We start from the raw sequence: 15,133 nt of genomic DNA, 5'->3' as shown, positions 1-15,133 counted from the left end.
CTCCGCCTCCCGGGTTCCCGCCATTCTCCTGCTTCAGCCTCCCAAGTAGCTGGGACTACAGGTGCCCGCCACCACGCCCGGCTACTTTTTTGTATTTTTAGTAGAGACGGGGTTTCACCGTGTTAGCCAGATTGGTCTCGATCTCCTGACCTTGTGATCCGCCCGCCTCAGCCTCCCAGAGGTGCTGGGATTACAGGCGTGAGCCTCCGTGCCCGGCCTGTGTTTTTTTAATAAGTAGTTGAACACCAAGAATCCTGTATTGACAGGATCCACTGACAAGAGGTCCCCAGAAGATGTGTTCTGTAGGGAAATCAAGGCAGAGAAAAAAACGCCACCAATAAATTGTTTCAGAATCTGGAATTAATGTGGGGGTCATAGCTTTCATTCTTAGAGAGAAGAGGAAATGGCTATTTGGATTCCAAGGGAAGAACCATTCATCACTATTAATCTTCAGACTACCACATGGCTTAGCATAGTTTGCTGAAGTACAAGTTTGAATGGGTGCCACCTCAGCCTGCCTCGATATTCCCATCAGTGACCAGGGTAGGGGTGGAGAGGTTGGTTAATCGGACTCTACATAATGACTGAGTTCCTCTAAGTTTAACGAAGCACCATCATCACAAAGAAAACTGGTTTTGTTTCTCGGGAACAACTGAATTCTCCCATGCACTCACCGATGTGAGCAGACTTTTATAATGCTCTTTGAAAATTAAGCCCGGCCAGGAGAGGTGGCTCACACCTGTAATCCCAGCACTTTGGGAGGCTGAGGTGGGTGGATTACTTAAGGCCAGGAGTTCGAGACCAGCCTGGCCAACATGGTGAAACCCCATCTCTACTAAAAATACAAAAATTAGCCAGGTGTGGTGGCTTATGCCTGTAATCCCAGCTACTTGGGAGCCTGAGGCAGGAGAATCGCTAGAACCCAGGAGGCAGAGGTTGCAGTGTACCGCTAAGGTCGAACCACTGCACTCCAGCCTGGGCAACAGAGCAAATTGTCTACAAAAAAAAAAAAAAAATTTAAGCCCAAGTCTGGGCAACACAGGGAGACCTCATCTCTACCAAAAATTTTAAAAATTAGCTGGGCATAGTGGTGTGTACCTGTAGTCCCAGCTACTCAGGAGGCTAAGGTGAGAGGATTGCTTGAGCCTGGGATGTCAAGGCTGCAGTGAGCCCTGATTGCACCACTGCACTCCAGCCTGGAAACAGAGCAAGACTTCATCTCAAATAAAAACAAAAAAACTTAAGCCCACCAGGGGGATCATTAAACTGTCCAAAGGCATTGTATCCACATGAAATTCGAATTATATGAAGAGAAGTTACCAATCCAGTTATAGACAAAATAAAATGGAAGAGGTTCAGCTCTCTATGCCCCTGGTATATTATTCTAAAAATAATAACAATGTCTTTTTTAATTATTAATTTTATATGAATAGGTAATACTTATTAAGTTTCAGATAGTGTGAAGTGCTTTATATATGTTATCTTGTTTAAGTCTCAGTAATTCAGTGAAGGAGGTATTACTACTGACATTTTATAGAGGAGGAAAGTGAGGCTGAGCGAATTAGGTAACTTCCCCAAAGATACCCAGCTAGTAAGTGCCAGGATCAAAATGTAAAAGCAGGTCTGACTGGACTCATCTGGACTATAACCTTGCCTAAACAAAGGGCTGAATTCAGCATAAACTGCAGCACAAGTCACATGAAATAGCACAGCTCAGTTGGCTTCCCTCCTCCACCAGCATGCAGGCATTTCAGCAAAAGAAAGGAAAGAGCAATATAAACTCCTTGCATGGCTAATGTGGTCCCTAAAGACACTGGGTTAAGGGTTAAACCACTAAAACACTGGCCCTCTGAAAATCAAAAGACTAACTAAAGCCCTTTGGAGACGGCTTCCCCACTGTTTATGGAACATGGAGCTGCTTATGTGGAAGAAACATTGAGCAATATAGCTCAGCAAAGCAGCCACTGGTGCAGCCCAACCCGGGGCATGTCCCACCCATCCCTGCACTTGCTCAAGGCAGTGTCACACAGCCCTGCAGCTTTTCACTGCCTCCTCCTGGGACTCCCGACTGCCAAAAAACTGGGATGGGGGTTCTGGAATCATAAGACATTTAAGATTCATGAACACCAAGAAAAAGAGGAGGCAAACAGAACTTAAATAACAAAACAATCAGAAAAAGATTTTTAAATAAGTGTAATTCAGAACCTCCAGGAAATGGGTGCATATTCAATACATGAAGCAATACTAGGCTGTTATGAAAAAAGAGTCAGTTAGAGATCTTTCCAAGAAAAAAAATAATTGTTGAAATAAAAACTTGATAGATACTATGAACTGGAAAGGATAAAAACAAAACAACGCAAAACAAAGCTGAAGAGCGAATTACCAAACACGAAGACAAAGACAAGAATTCTTCAAAAATGGGGCACAAAGAGATTTAAGGAAAATTAAGAAAGCTGGGAGCAAAGACAGAAGTGGCAAGAGCAGTCTAATTCTAGAGTTGCCACCAGAAAAGGGAGAATGCATGGAAGGCCACACTTGAAGACATGAGACAAGAGGACTTCTCCCCAAAAAAGAAAGACCCAGTGTCAGATTGCAAGATCTTTCCAGTGTTGACCAGACAACAAATGGAATAAAAGGAATACTTAAACCATCGTATTGAAATTTCAGAACATCAAAGATAGATATATCATTAAAAACTAATCAAAACTAAAAAAATAGCTAAGCTGCAAAGGAACAAGAACCAGACTGATGTCTATGCTCATCAGCAAATCTGGGTAGGAGTAAGATAATAAAGCAGGGTGCCAGAGAAAAAGAATTTTGAATCTAGAATTCCTTAGACAGCAAAACTGTCACTTACTTGTGAAGATGACATGAAAGCGTTTTTAGGGACATGAAAAAAATAAGACAGATGGCCACTCACAGATGCTCCCTAAAAGATCCCCAGGGATCTACTCTAGCAACGGGAATAAAACCCAAGGAAGCACAGCTGAGTAAAGAAAGTCACACATACCTGTTATCCAGAGAAAAATAATTACTCTCTGGAACCAACTCAGATGACTGTGACAAGGGAGAAAGTAGGGGAGAGTCAGGGGTAGGGAGTAAAACTGTGCCAAGGTTTTTGCCTTCTTTTTGTTTGGAGAGGGTCACTATGGAGAAGAAAAGGATATATATACTAATAAACTCTAGCCATTGTTAGGGACAAAGTAAGTAAATACTATATTCATAATATAAGTATACCCTCTAAAAGAATAAATTTAAATGTATAATTTCAAAAAGGTAAGCAAAAATACTATCAAAATACCTTGAAACGCCAGAAGTATAATTCATGAAAGAACATATTGATAAGTTGGATTTCGCTAAAGTTAAAACTTCACCCTGCAAAAGACACTGTTAAGAGAATGAAAGACAAGCCATGGACTGGGAGAGGATATTTGGAAAACATGTTTCTGATTTTTTTATAAAGGACTGGCATCCAAAATATACAAAGAACTCTTCAAACTCAAAACTAGGAAAACAAACAACCCAATTAAAAGATGGACAAAAGGCACACGCCTGTAATCCCAGCACTTTGGGAGGCTGAGGTGGGTGGATCACAAGGTCAGGAGATTGAGACCATCCTGGCCAACATGGTGAAACGCCGTCTCTACTAAAAATACAAATGGAGATTGAGACCATCCTGGCCAACATGGTGAAACCCCGTCTCTACTAAAAATACAAATATTAGCTGGGCATGGTGGTGCACGCCTGTAGTCCCAGCTACTTGGGAGGCTGAGGCAGGAGAATCTCTTGAACCCGGGAGGAGGAGGTTGTAGTGAGCTGAGATCGTGCCACTGAGCTCCAGCCTGGCAACAAAGCAAGACTCTGTCTCAAAAAGAAAAGGCTGGGTGTGGTGGCTCACACCTGTAATCCCAGCACTTTGGGAGGCCAAGGTGGGCAGATCACGAAGTCAGGAGATGGAGACCATCCTGGCTAACATGATGAAACCCCGTCTCCACTAAAAATACAAAAAATTAGCTGGGCATGGTGGCGGGCACCTGTAGTCCCAGCTACTCGGGAGGCTGAGGCAGGAGAATGGCGTGAACCCGGGAGGCGGAGCTTGCAGTGAGCTGAGATCGTGCCACTGCACTCCAGCCTGGGCGACACAGCGAGACTCTGTCTCAAAAAAAAAAAAAAGGACAAAAGATCTAAACAGATGTTTCACCAAAGAAGATATACAGATGGCAATTACATATGGAAAGATTCTCAACGTCATATGTCATGAGAAAATCACAAATTTAAATAACGAGACACCACTACACATCTATCAAATGGCTAAAATTCAAAACACTGAAAGCACCAAATGCTGGTGAGGATATGGAGCAATAGGAACTCTCATTCATTGCTGGTGGGGATGCAAAATGGTACAGCCACTTTGGAAGACAATCTGGCAATTTCTTCCAAAACTAAACATACTCTTAGCATACAAACCAGCAATCACACTCCTTGGAATTTTCCCAAAAGACGTGAAAACTTATGTCCACACAAAAACCTGCACAGAAGTATTTATAGCAGCTTTATTTATAATTTCAAAAAAGTGAAAGCACCCAAGATGTTCTTCAGTAGGTGAATTGATACACTGTGGTACAGATAGGCAATGGAGTATTATTCAAGGATAAAAAGAAATGAGCTATCAAGCCATGAAATGACATGGGGGAATGTTAAATGCATATTGCTAAGTAAAAGAAGCCAATCTGAAAAGGCTTCATGCTATATGATGCTAACTACATGACATTGTGTAAAGAGCAAAACTGTAACTATGGAGACAGTAAAAAGATCAGTGGTTGCCGGAGGTTAGAGAGGAAGGATGGGATGAACAGCTGGAGCACAGGGGATTTTTAGGGCAGTGAAACTCTTCTGTATGATACCACATTGGGGGATACATGCCATTATACATTGTCACGGTGTGACACAGTGTGACATCATGGTGTGACGCTATGGTGCTGAATTCATAGTGTTAACACAGACATCATCACAATGTTTACACAGACGGCATCCCCACTTCCTCTGCACAACACTGCCGACATTGCCCTGTAATATCTTGTCAACATATCATCCTGCGTAGAAGAGCCTGGCGGGTGGTCTCAGAACTCTGGACTAGCTCTCCTACCCTGGGGCTCTTCAGCCACACTCTATACCCACGCGTAGAAGGCCAAGATCTCCACTGAAAAATATCACAGACTGCAGACAACACAGCTCTCATCATATGGACTCACAAATTATGAGTGAAATCAAAGTAACCACACACTGATACAAGTTATCAGACAACTAATCATCACATAGTATCATCTTGGTTGCCATCACTGTGTTTATTATCACAGTCCATAATTTCATCAATGTAGTTTAAAAGAAATGCCTAAAAACTCAAAGTCTTGAACAATTTTAAAAGTCCAGCAGCATCCCCTGGTAATAAAACCTACCTTTGTCTTCCTAGCAGGACTCAGAGCCACTCACAACCTAATGGTATTTGAACATTATCTATTCAGACTTCTTCTCTTTTGTATTTACTTCCTCCATTTTTCCAACATGCTTATTTGAGAAAGTAATATGTTATGGAGAAAATGTGCAGTAGCAGGAACACATTTTTAAATGTATTGCTTTAAAAGGTGCTCAACTCCCATCAATGACCGGTCTCTGAGAAGAAAAACATTGCTGCTGAGACGCCCACTGGTCTTCAAGAAGGTTGTTGTGTAGGACACTAAGATTTATCATGCAGTCAAAAGTGAGATTAATCATAAATCGTGAGTGTGTTGAAGATCCTCTCCATAAATACTGACTGATAATATCAGACCATACTAAAAGACGCAAGCAACCAGATTCTATTAGAGATTAGGTTCAAAGAAATATAATGGTATTTCCTAGTGCCATGACCCAGTTCATTTTCAAAATTAACTGAAGGTGGATATCTTAGAGTGTGCCCGAGGGAGATACTGACTCAAGAGGAAGATAAATAACCCTGAAAAAAATGCTGGAGGGAGGGGGCAGGGAAGAAAAACAAATTTTTTTTAATACTTGGGGAATCCAAAGACGTGGCTTTAGTTCTTTCACACTGGTACTACCCTTGGAAGACCAGACAAGTCCCTGGAACTTCACCTTTCATGACCTTGGTTTCCCTGTGTAGCAATGGGGGTGTTGACCGTCAGATAATTTTATTTCTGCAAGTCTGCAATTCCATAAATAATCAATTAAAATATTTGGACTAGATGATCTATAATTTGTTCACCAATAGAAATATAATGCAGACCACATATACAATTTTAAACTTTCTAGCAGCTGCACTAAAAAAGTACAAAGAGATACATAAAATAATTTTAATAATATATTTTATTTAATCTCACATATCCAAAATATTATTTCGATATATAATAAACAGAAAACATTATGAATGAACTGTTTTATTTTCCTTTTTCATACTAAGTCTCAGAAATCCAGTGCACATTTTGCCGTTACAGCCCAGCTCAACCATGACTCACCATTTCTTCAGCCACATGCAGCTAGTGGCCACTCTACTGCGCGGCAAAGATCTGTAAAGTCACCTTCAACTTCAATAATCTGACTCTACAAAGTATTGCCTACTCTGTACAAAGTATCTTGGGCTCTCTAAAGGACAAATATTAGACAAGCAAGCTACAAGCTCAACAATTCTACTTGCCCAAGACCAGGGAGAGCTCCTCCCTCATCTCTCATCTCCCTGGTTTCCATTTGTATGGCTTGATTGCAACCCAGCTGTTTTCCATCATGACTTGCACGTCTCTCTGATGCTGCATGGGTTCAGGCCTCATTATTTTACACCTGGAGTATTACAACAGCCCCTAACTGTGCATTTCATTTACAATCTTCACTCATCGCTGTGTTTGCATCCAGCCCAGTTTATTCTTACCCGAGAACCCTTCTCAGTTGCCTGCCCACGCTGGTGTCTTCCCTTCCAGAAAATTTGCCCAAACTCTAACACCAGAAAATCAGACAGTAGAAGAGTTCAATCGAGTTGAATAAATGTATTTCCAAGCTTCAGGAAGGGGCAACAGGAAAATGAACTTAGAGTGGACCCAGAAAGACTGTTTATTTCTATTATTCTCTCCAGCACAAATGGACAGCAGAGTAACCTGGGGACACGGCACGCTGGGGCAGGGGACGTAGCAGAAACGGCACACTATCTTACACGCTTAGCAGGGCCCGCTCCGCCGAGTCCCAGAAGACCACTTAGTTTGCTACATATACAGTAACTACTGAGGGTTAAAAACAAAAATTCTGCAGTTTTAAAACCAATGTTATGTTTCCTCAATGCATTAGAATAAAGACAACAAAAAGAAAATGGAAGAGACTTAAACAAGGATAATCATTATGTGACTAAAAATAGCTGATAAGAGGCCTGATCCCATGGTGCAGTAACCAAATATATTATCAGCCAGGCCACTGTTCTCTCCTTTGAATATGAATGAACTGCTCCCCGATATTAACATATCATGACCGTGAAAAAAGCAACTGTCTTTGAACTAAATATCTGGAATGAGATTCCAAATGTCAGTATAGAGAAGTACTCACTCACTCCATGGAGTAGTTTGCTTACCCCAGTTTCCTATATAATCAGTCTCCATAATGTGCTTAAAATATTTACAGTAATCCTGGGATCCTCGGTGCTGCATTTGGCTTACACAGTATCTCTAGAGATAGAAAAGGGAGGAGGAGCACCCAAATGCTTCCCTGCAATGTGTGAAATGTACATTGCTGATGATTTGGCAAAAGATTACACAAGACAGGAACACTTACTTCTGAATGCAAAACCTCTGAATCAAAATTAAGGAGCCTGCCTTAACATTCTCTGCAAAAGAGGAGAAAAGAAAAGAATATTTCTCCTATCTGGAGTATTTCTTCTCTCCTGCCTTTATTTAAAAAGAAAAGTATACAAATATGCATATAGAATTTTTAAATGGGAGGCAATAATAATATATTTCTCAGAGGGATGGTGTGAGGATCCGTAAGAAAAATATGCGAAAAACACTAAAGGCATATTAGTAATTACCTTTATTATCTTTGTTCTCACAGCACCAGACTCACTTCCTTTGCTCTCTTCCCAACAGCACTGCCTGCCATCAGTGGCGCAGTATCAGGTGGGCAGAGCTGCAGAGTAGCTAGGACAGCAGGGCCGGAGACAGCCAAGTGCTGTCAGTTATGCAGGCTAGTGAGGAATATGTGGAGGAGGTGCTTCACTCGCAGTTTTGGAACCCTGTAGCTATTCACCCTGTATATGGAACAGATGCTAAAAAGAAAAAAACATGTCAGCTTGGAAAGCAGAAACTCATACTAACCAACTCTGAAGTGAGAACTCCAGTGAAAGCCAAAAATAACAAAGTTCTCTTCTCTGTGACAAGAAAGGGGTATTAAAAATTCAGGCAACCTGAAACAAACCAATCAAAATGGCATAAATCTTCCTGCAATATTTTACCATATTCCTGAATGCAGCTTTTTCTACACTCACCTGGGAATGATTGTGATGGAAAGCAAAATGGGCAGTATTTATAAACTAATGATTACAAAAAAAAAAATGCAAAACTCTGGAAAAAAAACAGAGTTAATGAGGATTAGATCACTTTTTAGCATGAAATATTATATGATAAGCTTTACAGGGGCAGTAAGGGAGGGAAGAAATGAACCGTCAGAGCAAGAGACCTATTCACATAAACAAGCACACATGTATCTATGGTAATATTGGGCCCAGTAACCCTCCCCCACCACAGCTGGGGAGTGACCAGCATCATTCATGTGCTCTTTTTTTTTTTCTTTAGAGGAAGGGTCTCGCTCTGTTGTCCAGGCTGGAATGCACTGGTGCAGTAGCTCATTGCAGCCTCAAATTCCTGGGCTCAAGCAATCCTTCTGCCTCAGCCTCTCAAGTAGCTGGGACTACAGGCATGTGCCACAATGCCTGGCTATTTATAATTTTTTTGTAGAGATGGGGTCTCACTATGTTGTACAGGCTGGTCTCGAACTCCTGGCCTCAAGTGAACCTCCCACCTGGGCCTCCCAAAGTGCTGAGATTACACACGTGAGCCAACAGGCTTGGCCATTCAAGTACTGTTTTGTTTTGTTTTGCTTTGTTTTGTTTTGTTAGAGAGAGAGTCTCACCCTGTTGCCCAGACTGGAGTGCAATGGTGCAATCTTGGCTCACCACAACCTCCACCTCACAGACTCAAGTCATTCTCCTGCCTCAGCCTGCCGAGTTACAGGGATTACAGGCACGCACCATTACCACTTGGCTAATTTTTGTACTTTTAGGGTTTCACTATGTTGGCCAGGCTGGTCTTGAACTCCTGACCTCATATGATCCACCCGTCTCGGCCTCCCAAAGTACTGGGATTGCAGACATGAGCCACTGTGCCCAGCCATCCAGGTACTTTTACGACAGATCTATGCAGGCAGACCCAGGCAGCCACTGGGGTGTGACAGGTCCCCACTCCTTACTCTATTCCTGGAAGGGCTCTCTCCTGTCCTGGAGTAGGTCCTGTTTCTGTGTTTGCCCTTGATAATGATGGGGAGAAACTCCCAAGGCATGGAAGTGAGATCACTTTTATTTTTAGCCCTTCTTAATGGTTGTTAACATTTGTGCTGAGCACTTTTCCCAGCCTAAGTGGATGTAAATAACATCTTGTATCCAGTGTGGTATTGACCAGAAGTTATATTTAGTAAATGTAAAGATCCAAGGAGGAAGAATAGAGACCCTTCTTTAGAGGCACTGTATACACTTCGTCTCATAAATGCTTAAAAACTTTTTCGAAAATAACTGTAAAATATTCCATTTGTCTAGCTGGCACCTCTGAGGAGGGTTTAAGATAACACATCCGTTGTAAATGTAAAATCAATTACTGGACAACGGAAGGCGTCCGCAGAGGTGCTTATTGGCCACCTGTGGGGTAGAAGACGGCCTTGTAGTCAGGACTTCTTTCAACAGAAGGTGATGACCTTCAGAGCCACTACAGGATGAACACTCTGTCCAGAATCAGAGCTCCTGGTGAGTAAGCGCTTATTTCTGCAATCATTTACACCTGGATAATGACAGTAAAAGAACATTTAAATTCTCCTGTGATGACTATGAGGTCCTCTCCTAGTTAGGCCTCCATCATTAGATTTAGAAAGGAAAATAATAACAAAAGTTTTGCCAATTCTTCTATTACATAGGATAAATACCTAGCTGGAGGACTTTGCCTTAGATGACGATGGGCAGCATGGGAGAAATCTAACATGTTGTCGATATCATCTTGATAATGTGTCAGTTAGTGCATGCACTTATATGCACATACCCACAGACCACTACCAACCACCCATGAAGTGCAAATTCTTATTTTTATCTTTATCTGTAACAGAGGTAAATGAATCTTTTGAATGCCATATAGGTAGAAATGACAGTGTTAAAACCTGAATTCAATTCTCTTTAACCCTAAATTCTGGGGTTTTAACCCCTAGATATACTGCCCTTAAGAAACTTCCAAACAGAATCTAGACCATTAGACCAAGTCCAAAAACTGCCCATGACAGAGTTCAGTAAAATCTGTAATTACTGAGCACACAAAGGGTAGTATAGGAAATGGAAGCAGGAGAAATTAGATTATTATCTTTATTTCTTATCAAGGAAGAGAAAACCATATAGAATCAATGAGCGTATTCTGTTGCATTTAGATCTGATATTGAACTAGGCAGGTGGGCAATGATAAGAACCACACTGGACTTGCTAATTAGCTTGTCCTGACAGAAATTAAGCAGCAAGTAAGGAATTTCTCCGAATTTTTTTTTCATTTGTAAAGTGAAGGGATCAGACCATCTCTGAGATATCCTCCAGCTATTACATTCTCACATTAGCACGGCTTGTATTTTCAGCTGCCCTGATTCTCCTCCTTGAAACTTGGGGCAGGTTGTTCTGGCAAAAACAGAAAACACACATTAAAAAATACCTTTGATGACCAGCAGAGGGCAGGGTGAGTTGGGTGTGGAATTTAGAGGAGGGCTCCAGGGGCAGTTTCTAGAAGGTTTGTAGTCCTGGTCCAAACGGTGGCTCACGCCTGTAATCCCAGCACTTAGGGAGGTCGAGGTGGGTGGATCACGAGGTTAAGAGATCGAGACAATCCTGGCCAACATGGTGAAACCCCGTATCTACTAAAAATACAAAAATTAGCTGAGTGTGGTGGTGGGAGCCTATAATCCCAGCTACTTGGGAGGCTGAGGCAGCAGAATTGCTTGAACCCGGGAGGCGGAGGTTGCAGTGAGCCGAGATCACACCACTGCACTCCAGCCTGACGACAGGCTCAAAATAAAAAAAAAAAAAGAATATTTGTAGTCCTCTGGGTTCTGCACTTGGTCTGTGCACTTCCTGCCTGCCCGTTCTTTCACTAAGTCCAGAAATGCGGTAAGATAGGGAAGAGCTTCTGCCATAGACAGCACTGATGCTGTCGTCCATAGAAAACAACTTCCTTCCTTTCTGTCCCCACTCCTCCCCTCCCACAACCCCCAACACCCATATTCACATGTACACCCTTAATTTCCTTACTCATCTGGGTCAAGGTGAGAGAAGAGAGTTGAGAGCTCTTCCCACGTGCACTGTAGTCACTGCCTAGACCATAAGCTCTGTGAGACACACTGCTGTGTTCCCTGCTCTGTCTCTAGCACCTAGAACCATGCCGGGCACATAGAAGGCACTGATATATATTTGTCACTGACTTTGTTTCCATTCTAAGGGGCTCCACCCTGAGCAGACTGTAAGCACTATACGGGCAAGAGGATCCCCATGGTCACAAATCTTTGGATTTTCATCATTTGGTAAAATGAGACACACTGGCACCAAGTAGATATTTGGGGAAAGCTAAAACTGATCAAAGTGCAATTGAATATGCAGAACAAGATAAGAGTCAAAGATGGCTCAGACAAGAAAATATTCCAGAATTATTTTTAAAAATAGTATACAGCTCAGCATATACTCTTGAAGCTGACTGTGATCTGCAATCCTTTCATCATTAGTTTATTTTTTAATAATGAGAAGTAGCAGACTTCACTAAAAATCACACATCTTTGTTTAGTATTTTTATGGGAGTACACGATTGTCAGGCCCTCTGCCCCTGTTTCCATCAGTGTCCCCAGGAGCCCACACTATGCAGATCCTCTTTCTTCTCCATACATTATGCAAATACCCTAAACAGGCCCCATCTCAGAGCCTCCACTCTGTCTCCTGGAACTTTCAGCCTATCATCAGCAAGATCCCTCACAACCCGACCCCTCTGACTATTCCTGAAACTTCTTGCCTTAACTGCTCTGCCAGGAGGACCCTGCTTCTCACGGTTACTCTCAGATCACTGCCTTCCCCCCTGCTCCCTAAAAGCTTCCTGCGTTGATGTTCATGCCGTCAGACTGTAGAACAGTCTCAAAACAAAGCGACCTCTCTTGAACTCACATTTTCCTCCAGCTACCACTCGATCTGCTTCTCCCCCTGCCTTTTCTGCAATATTCACTCAAAAGAGTTTTCCGGACTTGCTGTTTCCAGTTCCTGTCCTGTTACTCTTACACCTGCTCTATTAGGCGTTCTTCCCCACAATGATATGTTAACAGCTCTTTTCAAGATCACCAGTGACCTCCACTTACATGACAGTTCTCCAGCCTCATCTTTATTGAGCTCAGCAGCACTGGGCACAGGTACACCCCACCCCTTCCTGAACATCTCCACACTGAGTTTCAGAGCACTCCCTCCGGGTTTCCGGGGACCTCCCTGGCCATCCTCTCAGGCCCCTTCTGTTGACCCTCATCTCCCTAACCTCAAAATGTTAGAGTGCCCAGGACTCTATCCAAGGACCCCTCTTTTCTAAGTCACATCTGTACACATTGACAGCTGATCACATAATTCTTAGGGGCCCGTGTAAAATGAAAAGGTGGGCCCCTTGTTCAAAAATTAAGACTTTCAAGACAGCAACACTGGGCAGAACATCCAAGCAAGTGCTGACTCTTGTAAGAGCCAGACTCTGAGCAGCTGCAGGGCATACACTCTTGGAGCCGGTCCTGCCGACGACTCTTGAATCTCTATGTCTGGCCTTGCACACTCCCCGGAGCCCCAGACTCATAAATCCAGCTCTCTACTAATCATCTCCTCTTGGATCTATGGTAGGCATTTCAGACCAAATTCTTCACACCCTCCCTTACCGCAAAAGAGAACCCTGGTCCTCCGCAGTTTCCCCATCTCAGCAAGGGGTGCATTCTTCCGGTGTCTCAGACCAAAACCCTTGGGGGCATCTTTGATTCTTTTCTTGTACTGAAGCCCCACATCCAAATCATAAGCAAATGCCTTTGGCCCCACCTGCAAAGGTACAGAGGGTGTCCCCAGGTCTCCTCAGGCTGCCTCCACCTTGGGAAATTCTCACACCTGTATGACTGCGCCCTCCCACTGTCTCTCTGCCACAGCTCTTCCCTGCTATTTAGTCTTGACCCTGCACCCCGTGACCCCTTCAGGCTGGGATTCTCCTCAAAATGAATGTGAAAGTGTCCTGACTTTACCCAAGTTTAACAAACATTGGCTTAAATTACCTGATAAGCTTGCTTCCCTCTCACGTTACTCAACTACAGAAATACAAAAGTCGCTTATTTTTATGTGCCTATTTTCTCAAAACAAATAAAAAAGCACGAAGACAAGTGACCCCAGCTCCAAACTGTACACCCTCTACCTTCCTCATGTCAAAGATCTACCTGCAAACTTGCCGCAGTCCTGAAACGGTAAGAAATCATTTTTGGGGCTCCTCTTTACGTCTGCATTAACTAATGGTCTAGGTAACCCTATCAAGTGTCATAGCCACATAACATCCAGCTCCACGACATCATAGTTTCTAAATGTGTTCTATAATCATAGAACGCGGGCCTCTAACAGTGTGAGTGGTCGGGTATGGTACATGCGTGTTTGGCTTTAGGTTTCGAGTTCCAACACCCAGGCGCCTGCAGGCAGGGTATGTGTACGCGTGCGTGTGTACGTGTGTGTGTACCTGTGTGTGTGTGTGCGCGCGCGTGTGCGTGTGTGTGTTCGTCTCCAGATGGTTGTATGCACGGATGGTTATGAGCCAGTACGTCGCCGCTGTGAGCGCGCGAGGACCCGGGGCTCCAAGTGGTGAGAATCACTCGAGGGACCCTTCGGATGCCTTTTTCCCCCTCTGCTTTTGAGCTCTGCAGCACAGCGGTGCCGGCCGCCGGCAGGGAAGGCTGCATCTTCTCTGCGCCGCCAAACCGTGCCCACCATCGCGGTGACTGCCGCCTAGGTCGCATCCCTGAGCCGCATCCGCGCGTAGGGGCGCACGGGCACGCGCACAGGGAGGCCGCACACACACACACACATCTGTACAGGGACGAGCCGGGGGTCTCTGACGCCCGCCGCTCACCTCGCCCCGGCCTGGAGCCTTTTGGCCCCGCAGGTGCAGCGACGCCCAGCCCCCGTGCGGCCAGCGCGCCGCGTCGGCGGATCCTGCAGCCCAGAGAGCCCAGGGAGCCCAGGGAGGGGAGCGGGGCGCGGGCGGGGCAGTGTCGCATAACCGCAGGCGCGCCCCGCGCCGCCCCCGCCCCGGGCCCACCCTCCCTCGCCGCGCCCCTCCCAGCTCACCCACGGACGAGCGGATCCTCGACCTCCGCGGCAGGGACATCTTAAGAGCTTTGTCCAGGCCTGCGCCGTTCAGCATCTCGCCCGTGTCGGGGGCTCGGCGGCCCCGGGCGAGAGACGGAGGCTACGCGCAGGGCTGGGCGCAGGGGCCGCCGCCCGAGGACCATGGGTGGGCCAGCGCCTCGCCGGGCTGCTAGCTGGCGGGGACCGCCGGCGCCTGTGCCGGGCCGCGCCCGAGGCTGCGCCGTCCGTGCCGCAGCGGCCAATGCGGCAGCATCCGCGAACGCCACCGCGGCGGGCCCCGCTGGCCCGGGCTGCGGCGTGGGGGCGGGGGACCGGCCCTGAGCGGAGCCCCGCGGGAGGAGGAGCGGACGGGAGGCTGGGAGGGATCCGCAATATTACGCAGGACCGGGGCTTTTAGGTGTCGGGGAAGGCGATGGGGAGGGCTTGGTGGGGTGGGAGATTGGGCCTGTACTTTCGGGGGCTCTTCCA

At 45.1% G+C, this 15,133-nt stretch overlaps 1 protein-coding gene across 7 annotated transcripts in view; it reads right to left on the bottom strand.

Moving 5' to 3' along the window:
* Positions 1-14,959, bottom strand: part of ATP8A2 (ATPase phospholipid transporting 8A2) — a 653,878-nt gene extending 638,919 nt beyond the window's left edge. For all 7 annotated transcript variants that reach the window (NM_016529.6, NM_001411005.1, NM_001411006.1 and 4 more), the window contains exon 1: positions 14,645-14,959. In NM_016529.6, coding sequence (NP_057613.4) covers positions 14,645-14,720 — 76 coding nt within the window. In that variant the 5' untranslated portion in view covers positions 14,721-14,959. The remainder of the gene's footprint in view (positions 1-14,644) is intronic.

Source organism: Homo sapiens, chromosome 13 (assembly GCF_000001405.40).
Source record: "Homo sapiens chromosome 13, GRCh38.p14 Primary Assembly".
Classification (NCBI taxonomy): Eukaryota; Metazoa; Chordata; class Mammalia; order Primates; family Hominidae; genus Homo; species Homo sapiens.
The sequence above is the reverse complement of the archived record's forward strand: the minus strand, read 5'-3'. Positions and strand labels throughout refer to the sequence as shown.